The sequence below is a fragment of the Homo sapiens genome, chromosome 7 (assembly GCF_000001405.40).
Source record: "Homo sapiens chromosome 7, GRCh38.p14 Primary Assembly".
Classification (NCBI taxonomy): domain Eukaryota; kingdom Metazoa; phylum Chordata; class Mammalia; order Primates; family Hominidae; genus Homo; species Homo sapiens.
The window spans coordinates 62,546,355-62,562,606 of record NC_000007.14 but is presented as its reverse complement, the minus strand read 5'-3'; the positions used below and the strand labels follow the sequence as shown (position 1 = coordinate 62,562,606).

Here is a 16,252-nt window from a genome sequence, read left to right as displayed (position 1 = left end):
GCATTCAACTCACAGAGTTGAATCTTTCTTTTCATAGAGCAGTTTTGAAAAACTCTTTTTGTAGAATCTGCAAGTGGATATTTGGAGCTCTTTGAGGCCTATGGTGGAAATGGAAATAGCTTCACATAAAAATTGGAGAGAAGCATTCTCAGAAACTTTTTTATGATGTGTGCACTCAACTCAAAGAGTTGAACGTTTCCTTTGACAGAACAGTTTTGAAACACTCTTTTTGTAGAATCTGCAAGTGGATAGTTGCAGTGTTTTGAGGCCTATGGTGGAAAAGTAAATATCTTCACATAAAAACTAGACAGAAGCATTTTCAGAAACTTCTTTGTGATGTGTGCATTCAACTCACAGTGTTGAACCTTTCTTTTGATAGAGCAGTTTTGAAACACTCTTTTTGCAGAATCTGCAAGTGGATATTTGGAGACCATTGGGGCCTATGGTGGAAAAGGAAATATCGTCACATAAAAACTAGCAGAAGCATTCTAAGACACTTCTTTGTGATGTGTGCATTCAACTGGCCAAGTCGAGCCTTTCTTTTGATTGAGCAGTTTTGAAACACTCTTTTTGGAGAATCTGTAAGTGGATATTTGAAGCATTTTGCAGCCTGTCATGGAAAAGGAAATATCTTCACATAAAAACTAGACAGAAGTATTCTCAGAAACTACTTTGTGATGTGTGCATTCAAATCACTGAGTTGAACCTTTCTTTTGATAGAGTAGTTTTGAAACTCTCTTTTTGTACAATCTGCAAGTGGATAGTTGGAGCACTTTGAGGCCTACATTGGAAAAGGAAGCAGCTCTACATGAAAAGTAGACAGAAGTATTCTCATAAACTGCTTTGTGATGTGTGCATTCAACTCACAGAGTTGAACCTTTCTTCTGATAGAGCAGCTTTCTAACTCTCTTTTTGTAGAATCTGCAAATGGATATTTGGAGCACTTAGAGGCCTATGGTGCAAAGGGAAATATCTTCACATAAAAACTAGACAGAAGCCTTCTCAGAAACTTCCTTGTGATGTGTGCATTCATCTCACTGAGTTGAAACTTTCTTTTGCCAGAGCAGTTTTGAAATACTCTTTTTGTAGTATCTGGAAGTGGATAGTTGGAGCACTTTGACGCCTGTGGTGGAAAAGGAAATATCTTCCCATAAAAACTGGACAGAAGCATTCTCAGAAACTTTTTTGTGATGCGTGCATTCAGTTCACTGAGTTGAAACTTTCTTTTGAATGAGCAGTTTTGAAACACTCTTTCTGTAGAATCTGAAAGTGGATATTTGTAGCTCTTTGATGCCTGTAGTGGAAAAGGAAATGTCTTCACATAAAAAATAGACAGAAGCATTCCAAGAAACTTCTTTGTGATGTGTGCATTCACCTCATAGAGTTGAACCTTTCTTTTGGTAGAGGAGTTTTGAAACACTCTTTTTGTAGAAACTGAAAGTGGATATTTTTGCGCTTTGAGACCTATGGTTGAAAAGGAAATGTCTTCACATAAAAACTAGACAGAAGCATTCTCAGAAACTTCTTTGTGAAGTGTGCATTCAACTCACAGAGTTGAACCTTTCTTTTGAAAGATCAGTTTTGAAACATTCTTTTTGTAGGACCTGCAAGTGGATATTTGGAACGCCTTGACACCTATGTTGGAAAAGGAAATAACTTCATATAAAAATTAGGGAGAAGCATTCTCTGAAACTTCTTTGTGGTGGGTGCCCTCAACTCACAGAGTTGAACCGTCCTTTTGATAGAGCAGTTTTGAACTATCTTATTGTGGAAAATGCAATTTGATATTTTGGGAGCTTTAAGGCCTATAGTGGCAAAGGAAATATGTTGACATACAAACTAGACAGTAGCATTCTCAGAAACTTCTCTGTGATGCGTGCATTCAACTGACAGAATTGAATTTTCTTTTGATAGAGTTGTTTTGAAACAATCTTTCTGTAGAATCTGTGAGTGTATATTTGGATCCCTTTTAGGCCAATGGTAGAAGAGTAAATGTCTTCCCATAAAAGTTAGAGAGAAGCATTCTCAGAAACTTCTTTGTGATGTGTGCATTCAACTCACAGAGTTGAAATTTCTTTTGATAGAGCAGTATTGAAACTCTCTTTGTGTAGAATCTGCAAGTGGATATTTGGGCCCTTTGAGGCCTATGGTGGAAAAGGAAATATCTTCACAGAAAAATTGTACAGAAGCATGCTCAGAAACTTCTTATGATGTGTGCACTGAACTCACAGGTTTGAACCTTTCTTTTGATAGATCAGTTTTGAAACACTTCTTTTGTACAATCTATAAGGGGATATTTGGAGCACTTTGAGGCCTATGTTGGAAAAGGAAATATCTTCACAGAAAAACTAGATAGAAGTATTCTCAGAGAATTCTTTGTAATGTGTCCTTTCAGCTCCCAGAGTGAAACTTTCTTTTGATAGAGCAGTTTTGAAACCCACTTTATGTGCAATCTGAAAGTGGATAGTTGGAGCTCTTGGAGGCCTATGGTGGAAAGGGAAATATCTTCACATAAAAACTAGACAGAAACGTTTTCAGAAACTACTTTGTAATTTGTTCTTTCCACTCACAGAGCTGAACCTTTCTTTTGGTAGAGCAGTTTTGAAACACTCTTTTTGTTGGACCTGCAAGTTTGTAGTTGGAGCGATTTGAGGTCAATGGTTTAAAAGGAAACATCTTCATATAAAAACTAGACAGAAACATTCTCAGAAACTTCTTTATGATGTGTGCTTGCAACTCACAGAGTTGAAATTTTCTCTCCATAGAGCAGTTTTGAAACTCTTTTTGTAGAATCTGCAAGTGGATATTTGAAGCACTTTGAAGCCGGTTGTGAAAAAGGAAATATCTTCATATAAAAACTGGAGAGAAGCATTCTCCGAAACTTCTTTGTGATATTTGTATTCCACTCACAGAGTTGAAGAATTCTTTGGATAGAGCAGCTTTGAAACTCTATTTGTAGAAACTGCAAGTGGATATTTGCAGCTGTGTGTGGCCTATGGTGGAAAAGGAAATATATTCACATAAAAGCTAGACAGAAACATTCTCACAAACTTCTTTGTGATGTGTGCATTCAACTCACAGAGTTGAACCATTCTTTTGATGGAGCAGTTTTGAAACTCTCTTTTTGTAGAATGTGCAAGTTGATATTTCGAGCGCTTTGAGGAATATAGTGGAAAAGGAAATATCTTCACATAAAAATTAGACAGAAGCATTCTCAAAAACTTCTTTGTGATGTGTGCATTCAACTCACAGAGTTCGACATTTGTTTTGAGAGAGCAGTATTGAAACACTCATTTTGTAGAACATGCAAGTGGATATTTGGAGCACTTTGAGGCCTATGGTGGAAAAGGAAATATCTTCACATAAAAACTAGACACAAGAATTCTCAGAAACTTCTTTGTGATGTGTGCATTCAACTCACAGAGTTGAACCGATCTTTTGATAGAGCAGTTCTGAAACACACTTATTGTGGAATCTGTAAGTGGATACGTGGTGCGCTTTGAGGCCAAAGGTGGAAAAGGAAATATCTTTACGTAATAATTAGGTAGAAGAATTCTCAGAAACGTCTTTGTGATGTGCGCATTCAACTCACAGAGTTGAACCATTCTTTTGATAGAGTAGTTTGGAAACTCTCTTTTTGTAGAATCTGCAAGAGGATATTTGGAGCACTTTGAGGCCTATGGTGTAAAAGGAAATATCTTCACATAAAAACTAGACAGAGGCATTCTCAGAAACTTCTATGTGATGCGTGCATTCAATTCACAGTGTTGAACATTTCTTTTGATAGAGCAGTTTTGAAACATTCTTTTTGTAGGATCTGCAAGTGGATATTTGGAGCGCCTTGACAGCTATGTTGGAAAAGGAAATAACTTCACATAAAATCTAGACAGAAGCATTCTCAGAAACTTCTTTGTGATGTGTGCATTCAACTCACGGAGTTAAATCTTTCTTTTGATAGAGCAGTTTTCTAACACTCTTTTTGTAGAATCTGCAAGTGCGTTTTTGGAGAGCTTTGAGGCTAATGGTGGACAAGGAAATATCTTCACCTAAGAACTAGACAGAAGCATTCTCAGAAACTTCTTTGGATGTGTGCACTCAACTCACAGAGTTGAACTTTTCTTTTGATGATAGAGCAGTTTTGAAACATTCTTTTTGTAGAATTTGCAGTACAATATTTGGAGAGCCTTCAGGCCTATGGTGGAAAAGGAAATATCTTCACATAAAAACTAGACAGAAGCATTCTTAGAAATTTCTTTGTAATGGGTGCATTCAACTCACTGAGTTGAACATTCCTTTTTATAGAGCAGTTTTAAAACACTCTTTTTGCAGAATCTGCAAGGGGATATTTGGAGTGCTTTGAGGCCTATGGTGGAAATGGAAATATCTTCACATAAAAACTAGACAAAAGCATTCTCAGAAACTTCTTTGTGATGTGTGCATTCAAGTCACAGAGTTGAACCAATCTTTTGATATATCAGTTTTGAAACACTCTTTTTCAAGAATCTGCAAGTGGATATTTGGAGCGCCTTGGGGCCTATGGTGGAAAAGGAAATATCTTGACATGAAATCTAGACAGAAGCACTCTCAGAGACATGTTTGTAAAGTGTGCATTCAACTCACAAAGTTGAAACATTCTTTTGATAGGGCATTTTTGAATCTCTCTTTTTGTAGAATCTCCAAGTTTATATTTGGAGTGCTTTGAGGGCTACGGTGGAAAAGGAAATATCTTCACATAAAAACTAGACAGAAGCATTCTCGGAAACTACTTAGAGACGTGTGCATTCATCTCACAGAGTTGAACCTTTCTTTTGATGGAGCAGTTTTGAAACACTCTTTTTATAAATCTACAAGTGGATATTAGGAGCCCTTTGAGGCCTATGGTGGAAAAGGAAATACCTTCACATAAAAACTAGACAGAAGCATTCTCAGAAACTTCTTTGCCACGTGTGCCTTCAACTCACAGAGTTTAACTTTCCTTTTGATAGAGCAGTTTTGAAACTCTCATTTTGTAGAATCAGCAATTGGATATTTGGAGTGCTTTGAGGCCTATGGTGGAAAAGGAAATATCTTCACATAAAAACTAGACAGAAAAATTCTGAGAAACTGCTTTGTGATGTGTGCATTCAACTCACAGAGTTGAACAATTCTCTGACAGAGCAGTTTTGAAACTCTCTTTTTGTAGAATCTGCAGGTGGATATTTCGAGTGGTTTGAGGAACACAGTGGAAAAGGAAATAACTTCACATAAAAACTAGACAGAAGCATTCTCACAAGCATCTTTGTGATGTGTGCATTCAACTCACAGAGTTGAACCATTCTTTTATAGAGCAGTTTTGAAACTCTCTTTCTGTAGAAAATGCAAGTGGATATTTGGATCACTTGGAGGCCTATGGTGGAAAAGGAAATATCTACATATAAAAACTAGACAGAAGTATTCTCGGGAACTTCTTAGTGATATGTGCACTCAACTCACAATGTTGAACCTTCCTTTTGATTGATAGAGCAGTTTTGAAACACTATTTTTGCAGAATCTTCAAGTGGATATATGGAGCGCTATGAGTCCTATGGTGGAAAAGGAAATATCTTCACATAAAAACTAGACAACAGCATTCTCAGAAACTTTTTTGTGATGTCTGCATTCAACTCACAGAGTTGAACCTTTCTTTTGATAGAGTAGTTTTGAAATAGTCTTTTTGTAGAATCTGCAAGTGGATATTTGGAGCGCTTTGACGCCTACGGTGGAAAAGGAAATATCTTCACAAAAAAAATTTACAGAAGTATTCTCAGAAACTTCTTTGTGATGGGGGCATTCAACTCACAGAGTTGAACACTTCTTTTGACACAGCAGTTTTAAAACACTCTTTTTGTGGAATCTGCAAGTGGATATTTGGAGCACTTTGAGGCCTATGGTGGAAAAGAAAATATCTTCACATAGAAACTAGAAAGAAGCATTCTCAGAAACTTATTTTTAAGGTGTGCATTGAACTCACAGAGTTGAACGATTCTTTTGATTGAGAGCTTTTGACTCTCCTTTGTAGAAAATGCAAGTGGATATTTGGAGCGCTTTGAGGCCTATGGTGGAAGAGGAAATATCTTCACATAAAAACTAGAAAGAAGCATTCTCTGAAACTTCTTTGTGATGTGTGCATTCAACTCACGAGTTGAACATTTCTTTTGATAAAGCAGTTTTGAAACACTCTTTTTGTAGAATCTGCAAGTGCATATTTGGAGTGCTTTGAGGCCTGTGGTGCAAAAGGAAATATCTTCACTTAAAAACTAGACAGAAGCATTCCCCGAAACTTCTTTTTGATGTGTTCATTCAACTCACCTAGTTGAACCTTTCTTTTGATAGAGCAGTTTTGAAACACTCTTTCTGTAGAATCTGCAAGTGGATATTTGTTTCCCTTTGAGGCCTATGGTGGAAAAGGAAATATCTTCACATAATAACTAGACAGAAGCATTCTCAGAAACTTCTTTGAGATGTGTGCATTCAAATCAGAGAATTGAAACTTTCTTTTGATAGAACAGTTTTGAAACTCTCTTTTTGTAGAATCTGCAAGTGGATATTTGGAGTGCTTACAGGCCTACTGTGGAAAAGGAAATATCTTCACATAAAAACTAGACAGAAGCATTCCCCGAAACTTCTTTGTGATGTGTGCATTCAACTCACAGAATTGTACCTTTCCTTTGATAGAGCAGTTTTGAAACTCTCTTTTTGTAGAATCTGCAAATGGATGTTTGGAGTGCTGTGAGGCTTATGGTGGAAAAGGAAATATCTTCACATAGAAACTAGACAAAAGCATTCTAAGAATCTTCGTTGTGATGTGTTAATTCAACTCCCAGGGTTGAATGTTTCTTTTGATAGACCAGTTTGAAACACTTTTTTTGTGGAATCTACAAAAGGATATTTGGAGCGATTTGACGCCTACGGTGGAAAAGGGAATATCTTCACATAAAAACTAGAGAGAAGCAATCTCCGAAACTTCTTTTTGATGTGTGCATTCAAGTCACAGAGTTGAACCATTCTTTTGATGAAGCAGTTTTGAAACTCTCCTTTGAAGAAAATGCCAACGCATATTTGGAGCGCTGTGAGGCCTATAGGGGAAAAGGAAATATCTTCACATAAAAACTAGACAGAAGCATTCTCCGAAACTTCTTTGTGTTGTTGTGTATTTAATTCACAGAGTTGAACATTTCTTTTGTTTGAGCAGTTTTGAAACTCTCTTTTTGTAGAATCTCTAAGTGGATATATGGAGTGCTTTGAGCACTATGGGGGAAAAGGAAATATCTTCACATAAAAACCAGAAAGAAGTATTCCCAGAAACTTCACTGTGATGTGTGCTTTCAACTCATAGTGTTGAACTTTTCTTTTGATAGAGCAGTTTTGGAACACTCTTTTTGTAGAATCTGCAAGTTGATATTTGGAGCTCTTTGAGGCCTATGGTGGAAAAGGAAGTATCTTCACAGAAAAACTAGACAGAATCATTCTCTGAAACTTCTCTGCGCTGTGTACATTCAACATACAGAGTTGAACTTTCTTCTTATGGAGCAATTTGGAAACACCCTTTTTGTAGAATCTGCAAGTTGATTTTTGTTTCCCTTTGAGGCCTATGTTGGAAAACGAAATATCTTCACATGAAACCTAGGCAGAAGCATTCTCAGAAACTTCTTTGTGATGTGTGCTTTCAACTCACAGAGTTGAACCTTTCTTTGGATAGAGCAGTTTTGAAACAGTCTTTTTGTAGAATCTGCAAGTGGATATTTGGTTCCCTTTGAGGCCTATGTTGGAAAAGGAAATATCTTCCCATACAAAGTAGACAGAAGCATTCTCAGAAACTTCTTTGTGATGTGTGCATTCAAATCACAGAGTTGAACCTTTCTTTTCATAGAACATATTTGAAACTCTCTTTTTGTAGCATCTGCAAATGGATATTTGGAGCCCTTTTATGTTCTGTGGTGGAAAAGGGAATATCTTCTTATAAAAACTAGACAGAGGCATTCTCAGAAACTTCTTTATGAAGTGTGCATTCAACTGACAGAGTTGAACCTTTTCTTTGATAGAGCAGTTTTGTTTCTCTCTTTTTGTGGAATCTGCAAGTGTATATTTTGAGCGCTTTGAAATCTATGTTGGAAAAGGAAATATATTCACATAGAAACTAGACAAAGCATTGTAAGAAACTTCTTTGTGATGTGTTCATTCAACTCAGAGAGTTGAACGTTTCTTTTGATAGACCAGTTTGAAACGCTCTTTTTGTGGAATCTGCTAGCCAATATCTGGAGCAGTTTGAGGCCTATGGTGCAAAAGAAAATATCTTCACATAAAAAATAGACAGAACCATTCTCTGAAACTGCTTTGTGTTGTGTGCATTCAACTCAGAGAGTTGAACTTTTCTTTTGATAGAGTAGTTTTGAAACACTCTCTTTGTAGAATCTGCAAGTGGATGTTTGGCTCCCTTTGAGGCCTATGTTGGAATACAAAATATCTTCATATAAAAACTAGACAGAAGCATTCTCAGAAATTTCGTTTTGATGTGTGCATTCACCTCACAGAGTCGAATGTTTCTTTTTTTTAATTATCATTTTACTTTAAGTTTTAGGGTACATGTGCACAAAGTGCAGGTTAGTTACATATGTATACATGTGCCATCCTGGTGGGCTGCAACCACTAACTCATCATCTAGCATTAGGTATATCTCCCAATGCTATCCCTTCCCCCTCCCCGCAACCCGCAACAGTCCCCAGAGTGTGATGTTCCCCTTCCTGTGTCCATGTGATCTCATTGTTCGATTCCCACCTTTGAGTGAGAATATGTGGTGTTGGGTTTTTTGTTCTTGCGATAGTTTACTGAGAATGATGATTTCCAATTTCATCCAGGTCCCTACAAAGGACATGCACTCATCATTTTCGATGGCTGCATAGTATTCCATGGTGTATATGTGCTACATTTTCTTAATCCAGTCTATCGTTGTTGGATATTTGGGTTGGCTCCAAGTCTTTGCTATTGTGAATACTGCCACAATAAACATATGTGTGCATGTGTCTTTATAGCAGCATGATTTATAGTCCTTTGGGTATATACCCATTAATGGGATGGCTGGGTCAAATGGTATTTCTTGTTCTAGATCCCTGAGGAATCGCCACACTGACTTCCACAATGGTTGAACTAGTTTACAGTCCCACCAACAGTGTAAAAGTGTTCCTATTTCTCCACATCCTCTCCAGCACCTGTGGTTTCCTGACTTTTTATTGATTGCCATTCTAGCTGGTGTGAGATGGTATCTCACTGTTTTTTTGATTAGCATTTCTCTGATGGCCAGTGATGATGAGCATTTTTTCATGTGTTTTTTGGCTGCATAAATGTCTTCTTTTGAGAATTGCCTGTTCATGTTCCTCGCCCACTTTTTGATGGGATTTTTTTTCTGGTAAATTTGTTTGAGTTCATTGTAGATTCTGGATATTAGCCCTTTGTCAGGTGAGTAGGTTATGAAAATTTTCTCCCATTTTGTAGGTTGCCCATTCACTCTGATGGTAGTTTCTTTTGCTGTACAGAAGCTCTTTAGTTTAGATAGATCCCATTTGTCAATTTTGGCTTTTGTTGCCATTGTTTTTGGTGTTTTAGGCGAAGTCTTTGCCCATGCGTATGTCCTGAGTGGTAATGCCTAGCTTTTCTTCTAGGGTGTTGATGGTATTAAGTCTAACGTTTAAGTCTTTAATTCATCTTGAATTGATTTTTGTATAAGGTGTAAGGAAGGGATCCAGTTTCAGCTTTCTACATATGGCCAGCCAGTTTTCCCAGCACCATTTATTAAATAGGGAATCCTTTCCCCATTGTTTGTTTTTCTCAGGTTTGTCAAATATCAGATGGTTGTAGATATGTGGCATTATTTCTGAGGGTTCTGTTCTGTTTCACTGATCTATATATCTGTTTTGGTACCAGTACCATGCTGTTTTGGTTACTGTAGCCTTGTAGTAAAGTTTGAAGTCAGGTAGTGTGATGCCTCCAGCTTTGTTCTTTTGGCTTAGGATTGACTTGGTGATGCAGGCTCTTTTTTGGTTCCATATGAACTTTAAAGTAGTTTTTTCCAATTCTGTGAAGAAAGTCATTGGTAGCTTAATGGGGATGGCATTGAATCTGTAAATTACCTTGGGCAGTATGGCCATTTTCATGATATTGATTATTCCTACCCATGAGCATGGAATGTTCTTCCATTTGTTTGTATCCTCTTTTATTTCCTTGAGCAGTGGTTTGTAGTTCTCCTTGAAGAGGTCCTTCATATCACTTGTAAGTTGGATTCCTAGGTGTTTTATTCTCTTTGGAGCAATTGTGAATGGGAGTTCACTCATGATTTGGCTGTTTGTCTGTTGTTGGTGGATAAGAATGCTTGTAATTTTTGTACATAAATTTTGTATACTGAGATTTTGCTGAAGTTGCTTATCAGCTTAAGGAGATTTTGGGCTGAGACAATGGGGTTTTCTAGATATACAATCATGTCATCTGCAAAGAGGGACAATTTGACTTCCTCTTTTCCTAATTGAATACCCTTTATTTCCTTCTCCTGCCTAATTGCCCTGGCCAGAACTTCCAACACTATGTTGAATAGGAGTGGTGAGAGAGGGCATCCCTGTCTTGTGCCAGTTTTCAAATGGAATGCTTCCAATTTTTGCCCATTCAGTATGATATTGGCTGTGGGTTTGTCACAGATAGCTCTTACTATTTTGAGATACATCCCATCAATACCTAATTTAGAGTTTTTAGCATGAAGCGTTGTTGAATTTTATCACCAAAGTTGAAATGAAGGAAAAAAATATTAAGGGCAGCCAGAGAGAAAAGTCCGGTTACCCTCAAAGGGAAGCCCATCAGACTAACAGTGGATCTATCAGCAGAAACTCTACAAGCCAGAAGAGAGTGGGGGCCAATATTCAACATTCTTAAAGAAAAGAATTTTCAACCCAGAATTTCATATCCAGCCAAACTAATCTTCGTAAGTGAAGGAGAATAAAATACTTTACAGACAAGCAAATGCTGAGAGATTTTGTCACCACCAGGCCTGCCCTAAAAGAGCTCCTAAAGGAAGCACTAAACATGGAAAGGAACAACCGGTACCAGCCCCTGCAAAATCATGCCAAAATGTAAAGACCATCGAGACTAGGAAGAAACTCCATCAACTAACGAGCAAAATAACCAGCTAGCATCTGAATGACAGGATCAAATTCACACATAACAATATTAACTTTAAATGTAAATGGACTCAATGCTCCAATTAAAAGACACAGACTGGCAAATTGGATAAAGAGTCAAGACCCATCAGTGTGCTGTATTCAGCAAGCCCATCTCACGTGCAGAGACACACATAGGCTCAAAATAAAAGGATGGAGGAAGATCTACCAAGCAAATGGAAACCAAAAAAAGGCAGGGGTTGCAATCCTAGTCTCTGATAAAACAGACTTTAAACCAACAAAGATCAAAAGAGACAAAGACAATTCAACAAGAAGAACTAACTATCCTAAATATATATGCACCCAATGCAGGAGCACCCAGATTCATAAAGCAAGTCCCGAATGACCTACAAAGAGATTTAGACTCCCACACATTAATAATGGGAGACTTTAACACCCCACTGTCAACATTAGACAGATCAACGAGACAGAATGTCAACAAGGATACCCAGGAATTGAACTCAGCTCTGCACCAAGTGGACCTAATAGACATCTACAGAACTCTCCACCCCAAATCAACAGAATATACATTTTTTTCAGCACCACACCACACCTATTCCAAAATTGACCACATAGTTGGAAGTAAAGCTCTCCTCAGCAAATGTAAAAGAACAGAAATTATAACAAACTATCTCTCAGACCACAGTGCAATCAAACTAGAACTCAGGATTAAGAATCTCACTCAAAACCACTCAACTACATGGAAACTGAACAACATGCTCCTGAATGACTACTGGGTACATAACGAAATGAAGGCAGAGATAAAGATGTTCTTTGAAACCAACGAGAACAAAGACACAACATACCAGAATCTCTGGGACGCATTCAAAGCAGTGTGTAGAGGGAAATTGATAGCACTAAATGCCCACAAGAGAAATCAGGAAAGATCCAAAATTGACACCCTAACATCACAATTAAAAGAACTAGAAAAGCAAGAGCATTCAAAAGCTAGCAGAAGGCAAGAAATAACTAAAATCAGAGCAGAACTGAAGAAAATAGAGACACAAAAAAACCCTTAAAAATTAATGAATCCAGGAGCTGGTTTTTTTGAAAGGATCAACAAAATTGATAGACCGCTAGCAAGATTAATAAAGAAAAAAAGAGAGAAGAATCAAATAGATGCAATAAAAAATGATAAAGGGGATATCATCACCAATCCCACAGAAATACAAACTACCATCATGGAATACTACAAACACCTCTTTTGAAATAAACTGGAAAATCTGGAAGAAATGGATAAATTCCTCGACACATACACTCTTCCAAGACTAAACCAGGAAGAAGTTGAATCTCTGAATAGACCAATAACAGGAGCTGAAATTGTGGCAATAATCAATAGCTTACAAACGAAAGAGAGTCCAGGACCAGACAGATTCACAGCCTAATTCTACCAGGGGTACAAGGGGGAACTGGTACCATTCCATCTGAAACTATTCCAATCAATAGAAAAAGAGGGAATCCTCCCTAAGTCATTCTATGAGGCCAGCACCATCCTTATACCAAAGTCAGGCAGAGGCACAACCAAAAAAGAGAATTCTAGAGCAATATCCTTGATGAAAATTGATGCAAAAGTTCTCAATAAAATACTGGCAAACCGAATCCAGCAGCATATCAAAAAGTTTATCCACCACGATGAAGTGGGCTTTGTCCCTGGGATGCAAGGCTGGTTCAATATATGCAAGTCAATAAATGTAATGCAGCGTATAAACAGAACCAAAGACAAAAACCACATGATTATCTCAATAGATGCAGAGAATTTCTTTTGATAGAGCCATTTTGGAACACTCTTTTTGTAGAATCTGCAGGTGGATACATGGAGAGCTTTGAGACCTATGGTGGAAAAGGAAATATCTTCACATGAAAACTAGACAGAAGCATTCTCTGAAACTTCTTTGTGACGTGTGCATTCAACTCACAGAGTTGAACTTTTCTTTTGATAGAGCAGTTTTGAAACCCTCTTTCTGTGGAATCTGCAAGTGGATATTTCGTTCCCTTTGAGGCCTACGGTAGAAAAGGAAATAACTTCACATTAAAACTAGACAGAAGCATTCTCAGAAACTTCTTTGTGATGTGTGCATTCAACTCACAGAGTTGAACTATTCTTTTGATAGAGAAGTTTTGAAACTCTCTTTTTGGAGGATCTGCAAGTGGATATTTGGAGCGCTTTGGGGCCTATATTGGAAAAGGAAATATCTTCACATAAAAATTAGACAGAAGCATTCTCAGAAACTTCTTTGTGATGTGTGCATTCAACTCAAACTGATGAAACTTTCTTTTGATAGAGCAGTTTGGAAACACTCGTTTTGTAAAAATCTGCAATTGGATATGGAGCGCTTTGTGTCCTATGGTGGAAAAGGAAATACCTTCACATAAAAACTAGACAGTAGCATTCTCCAAAACTAATTTGTGATGTGTGCATTCAACTCACAGAGTTGAATATGTCTTTTGATAGAGCAGTTCTGAATCACTCCTTTTGTAGAAACTGCAAGGAGATATTTGGTTGCGTTTGAGGCCTATGTTGGAAAACAAAATGTCTTTAAATAAAAACTACACGGAAGCATTCTCCAAAACTTCTCTCTGATGTGTGCATTCAACTCACAGAGTTGAACCTTTCTTTTCATAGAGTAGTTTTGAATCACTCTTTTTGTAGTATCTGCAAGTGGATACTTGGTTCCCTTTGAGGCTTATGTTGGAATACGAAATATCTTCACATAAAAACTAGACAGAAGCATTCTCAGAATCTTTTTTGTGATGTGTGCATTGAAATTACAGAGCTGAAACTTTCTTTTGATAGAGCGGTTTTCAAACACTCTTTTTATAGAATCTGCAAGTGGACATTTTGAATGCTGTTAAGCCTACGGTGGAAAAGGAAATATCTCCACATAAAAACTAGATGGAAGCATTCTCTGAAAGTTCTTTCAGATGTGTACATTCAACTCACAGAGTTGAACCTTTCTTTTGATAGAGTAGTTTTGAAAAATAATTTTTGTAGAATCTGCAAGTGGATATTTGGTTCCCTTTGGGGCCTATGTTGGAATACGAAATATCTTCACATTAAAACTAGACAGAAGTATTCTTAGAAACTTCTTTGGATGTGTACATTCCACTCACAGAGTTGAAACTTTCTTTTGATAGAGTAGTTTTGAAATACCATTTTTGTAGAATCTGCAGGTGGATGTTTGGAGTGCTTTGAGGCTTATAGTGGAAAAGGAAATATCTTCACATAAAGAGTAGACAGAAGCATTCTAAGAAACTTCTTTTTGATGTGTGCATTCAAATCACAGAGTTGAACCATTCTTTTGATGGAGCAGTTTTGAAACTCTCCTTTGAAGAAAATGCAAGTGGATATTTTGAGCGCTTTGAGGCCTATGGTGCAAAAGGAAATAAATTCATATAAAAGCTAGACAGAAACATTCTCCGAAACTTCTTTGTGATGTGTGCATTCAACACACAGAGTTCAACCTTTCTTTAGATAGAGCAGTTTTGAAACACTCTTTTTGTACAATCTGCAAGTGGATATTTCAAGCGCTTTGAGGCCTATGGTGGAAAAGGAAACATGTTCACATAAAAACTACACAGAAGCATTCTCAGAAACGTCTTTAGGATGTGGGCATTCAACTCACAGAGTTGAACTGTTCTTTTGATAGAGCAGTTTTGAAACTCTCTTTTTGTAGAATCTGCAATTGGATATTCGCAGCACTTTGAGGCCTATGGTGGAAAAGGAAATATATTCACATAAAAAGTACACAGAAGCATTCTCAGAAACTGCTTTGTGCTGTGTGCATTCAACACACAGAGTTGAAACTTTCTTTTGAAAAAGCAATTTTGAAACACTCTTTTAGTAGAATCTGCAAGTGGATATTTGGTTCACTTTGAGGCCTATGTTGGAAAATGAAATAACTTCACATAAAAACTAGACATAAGCATTCTCAGAAACTTCTTTCTGATGTGTGCATTCAACTCACAGTGTTGAACTTTTCTTTTGATAGAGCAGTTTTGAAGCACTCTTTTTGTGGAATATGCAAGTTCATATGGGGAGCGCTTTGAGGCCTATGAGGGAAAAGGATATATCTTCACATAAAAACTAGACAGAAGCATTTTCTGAATCTCCTTTGTGATGTGTGCATTCAACTCACAGAGTTAAACCTTTCTTTTTTAAATCCTGTTTTTAAATCCTGTTTTTGTAGAATGTGCAAGTGGATATTTTGTTCTCTTTGAGGCCTATGGTGGAAAAGGAAATATCTTCACATAAAAACTACACAGAGGCATTCTCAGAAACTTCATTGTGGTGTGTACATTTGACTCATAGGGTTGAACCTTTCTTTTGATAGAGCAGTTTTGAAACACTCTTTTTTTTAGAATCTGCAATTGGATATTTGGAGTGCTTTGTGCCCTATGTAGGAAAAGGAAATATCTTCACACAAAAAGTAGACAAAAGCATTCTCAGAAACTTCTTTGTGATGTCTGCATTCAACTCACAGGGTTGAAACTTTCTTTTGATAGAGCAATATTGAAACTCTCTTTTTGTAGAAACTGCAAGTGGATATTTGGAGGGCTTACAGGCCTATGTTGGAAAATAAAATGTCTTCACATATGGACGAGACAGAAGCATTCTCAGAAACTACTTTGTGACATGTCCATTCAACTCACAGAGTTGAACATTTCTTTTAGTAGAGCAGTTTTGAAACACTCTTTTTGCAGATGCTGCAAGTGGATATTTGGAGTGCTTTGAGACCTATGGAGTAAAAGGACATATCTTCACATAAAAAGTAGAGAGAAGCATTCTCGGAAACTTCTTTGTGATGTGTGCATTAAACTGACAGAGTTGAATCATTCTTTTGATAGAGCAGTTTGAAATACTATTTTTATGGAATCTGCAAGTGGATATTCAGGCATATGGTTTAAAAGGAAATCTCTTCACCACAGGCCTCTTTTCCACCACAGGCCTTAAATCTCTTTTCCACCACAGGCCTCAAAATGCTCCAAATATCCACTTGCACATTGTACAAAAAGAGAGTTTCAAAACTGCTCTATCA

At 37.2% G+C, this 16,252-nt stretch overlaps 1 annotated feature.

Moving 5' to 3' along the window:
- Positions 5,396-5,897: an enhancer, noted in NCBI's record as "NANOG hESC enhancer chr7:62017088-62017589 (GRCh37/hg19 assembly coordinates)". NCBI's record gives its function as "activates a minimal SCP1, AML or CMV promoter by ChIP-STARR-seq in naive H9 embryonic stem cells {active_cell/tissue: H9 hESC(naive)}" and the evidence as "EXISTENCE:reporter gene assay evidence [ECO:0000049][PMID:30033119]".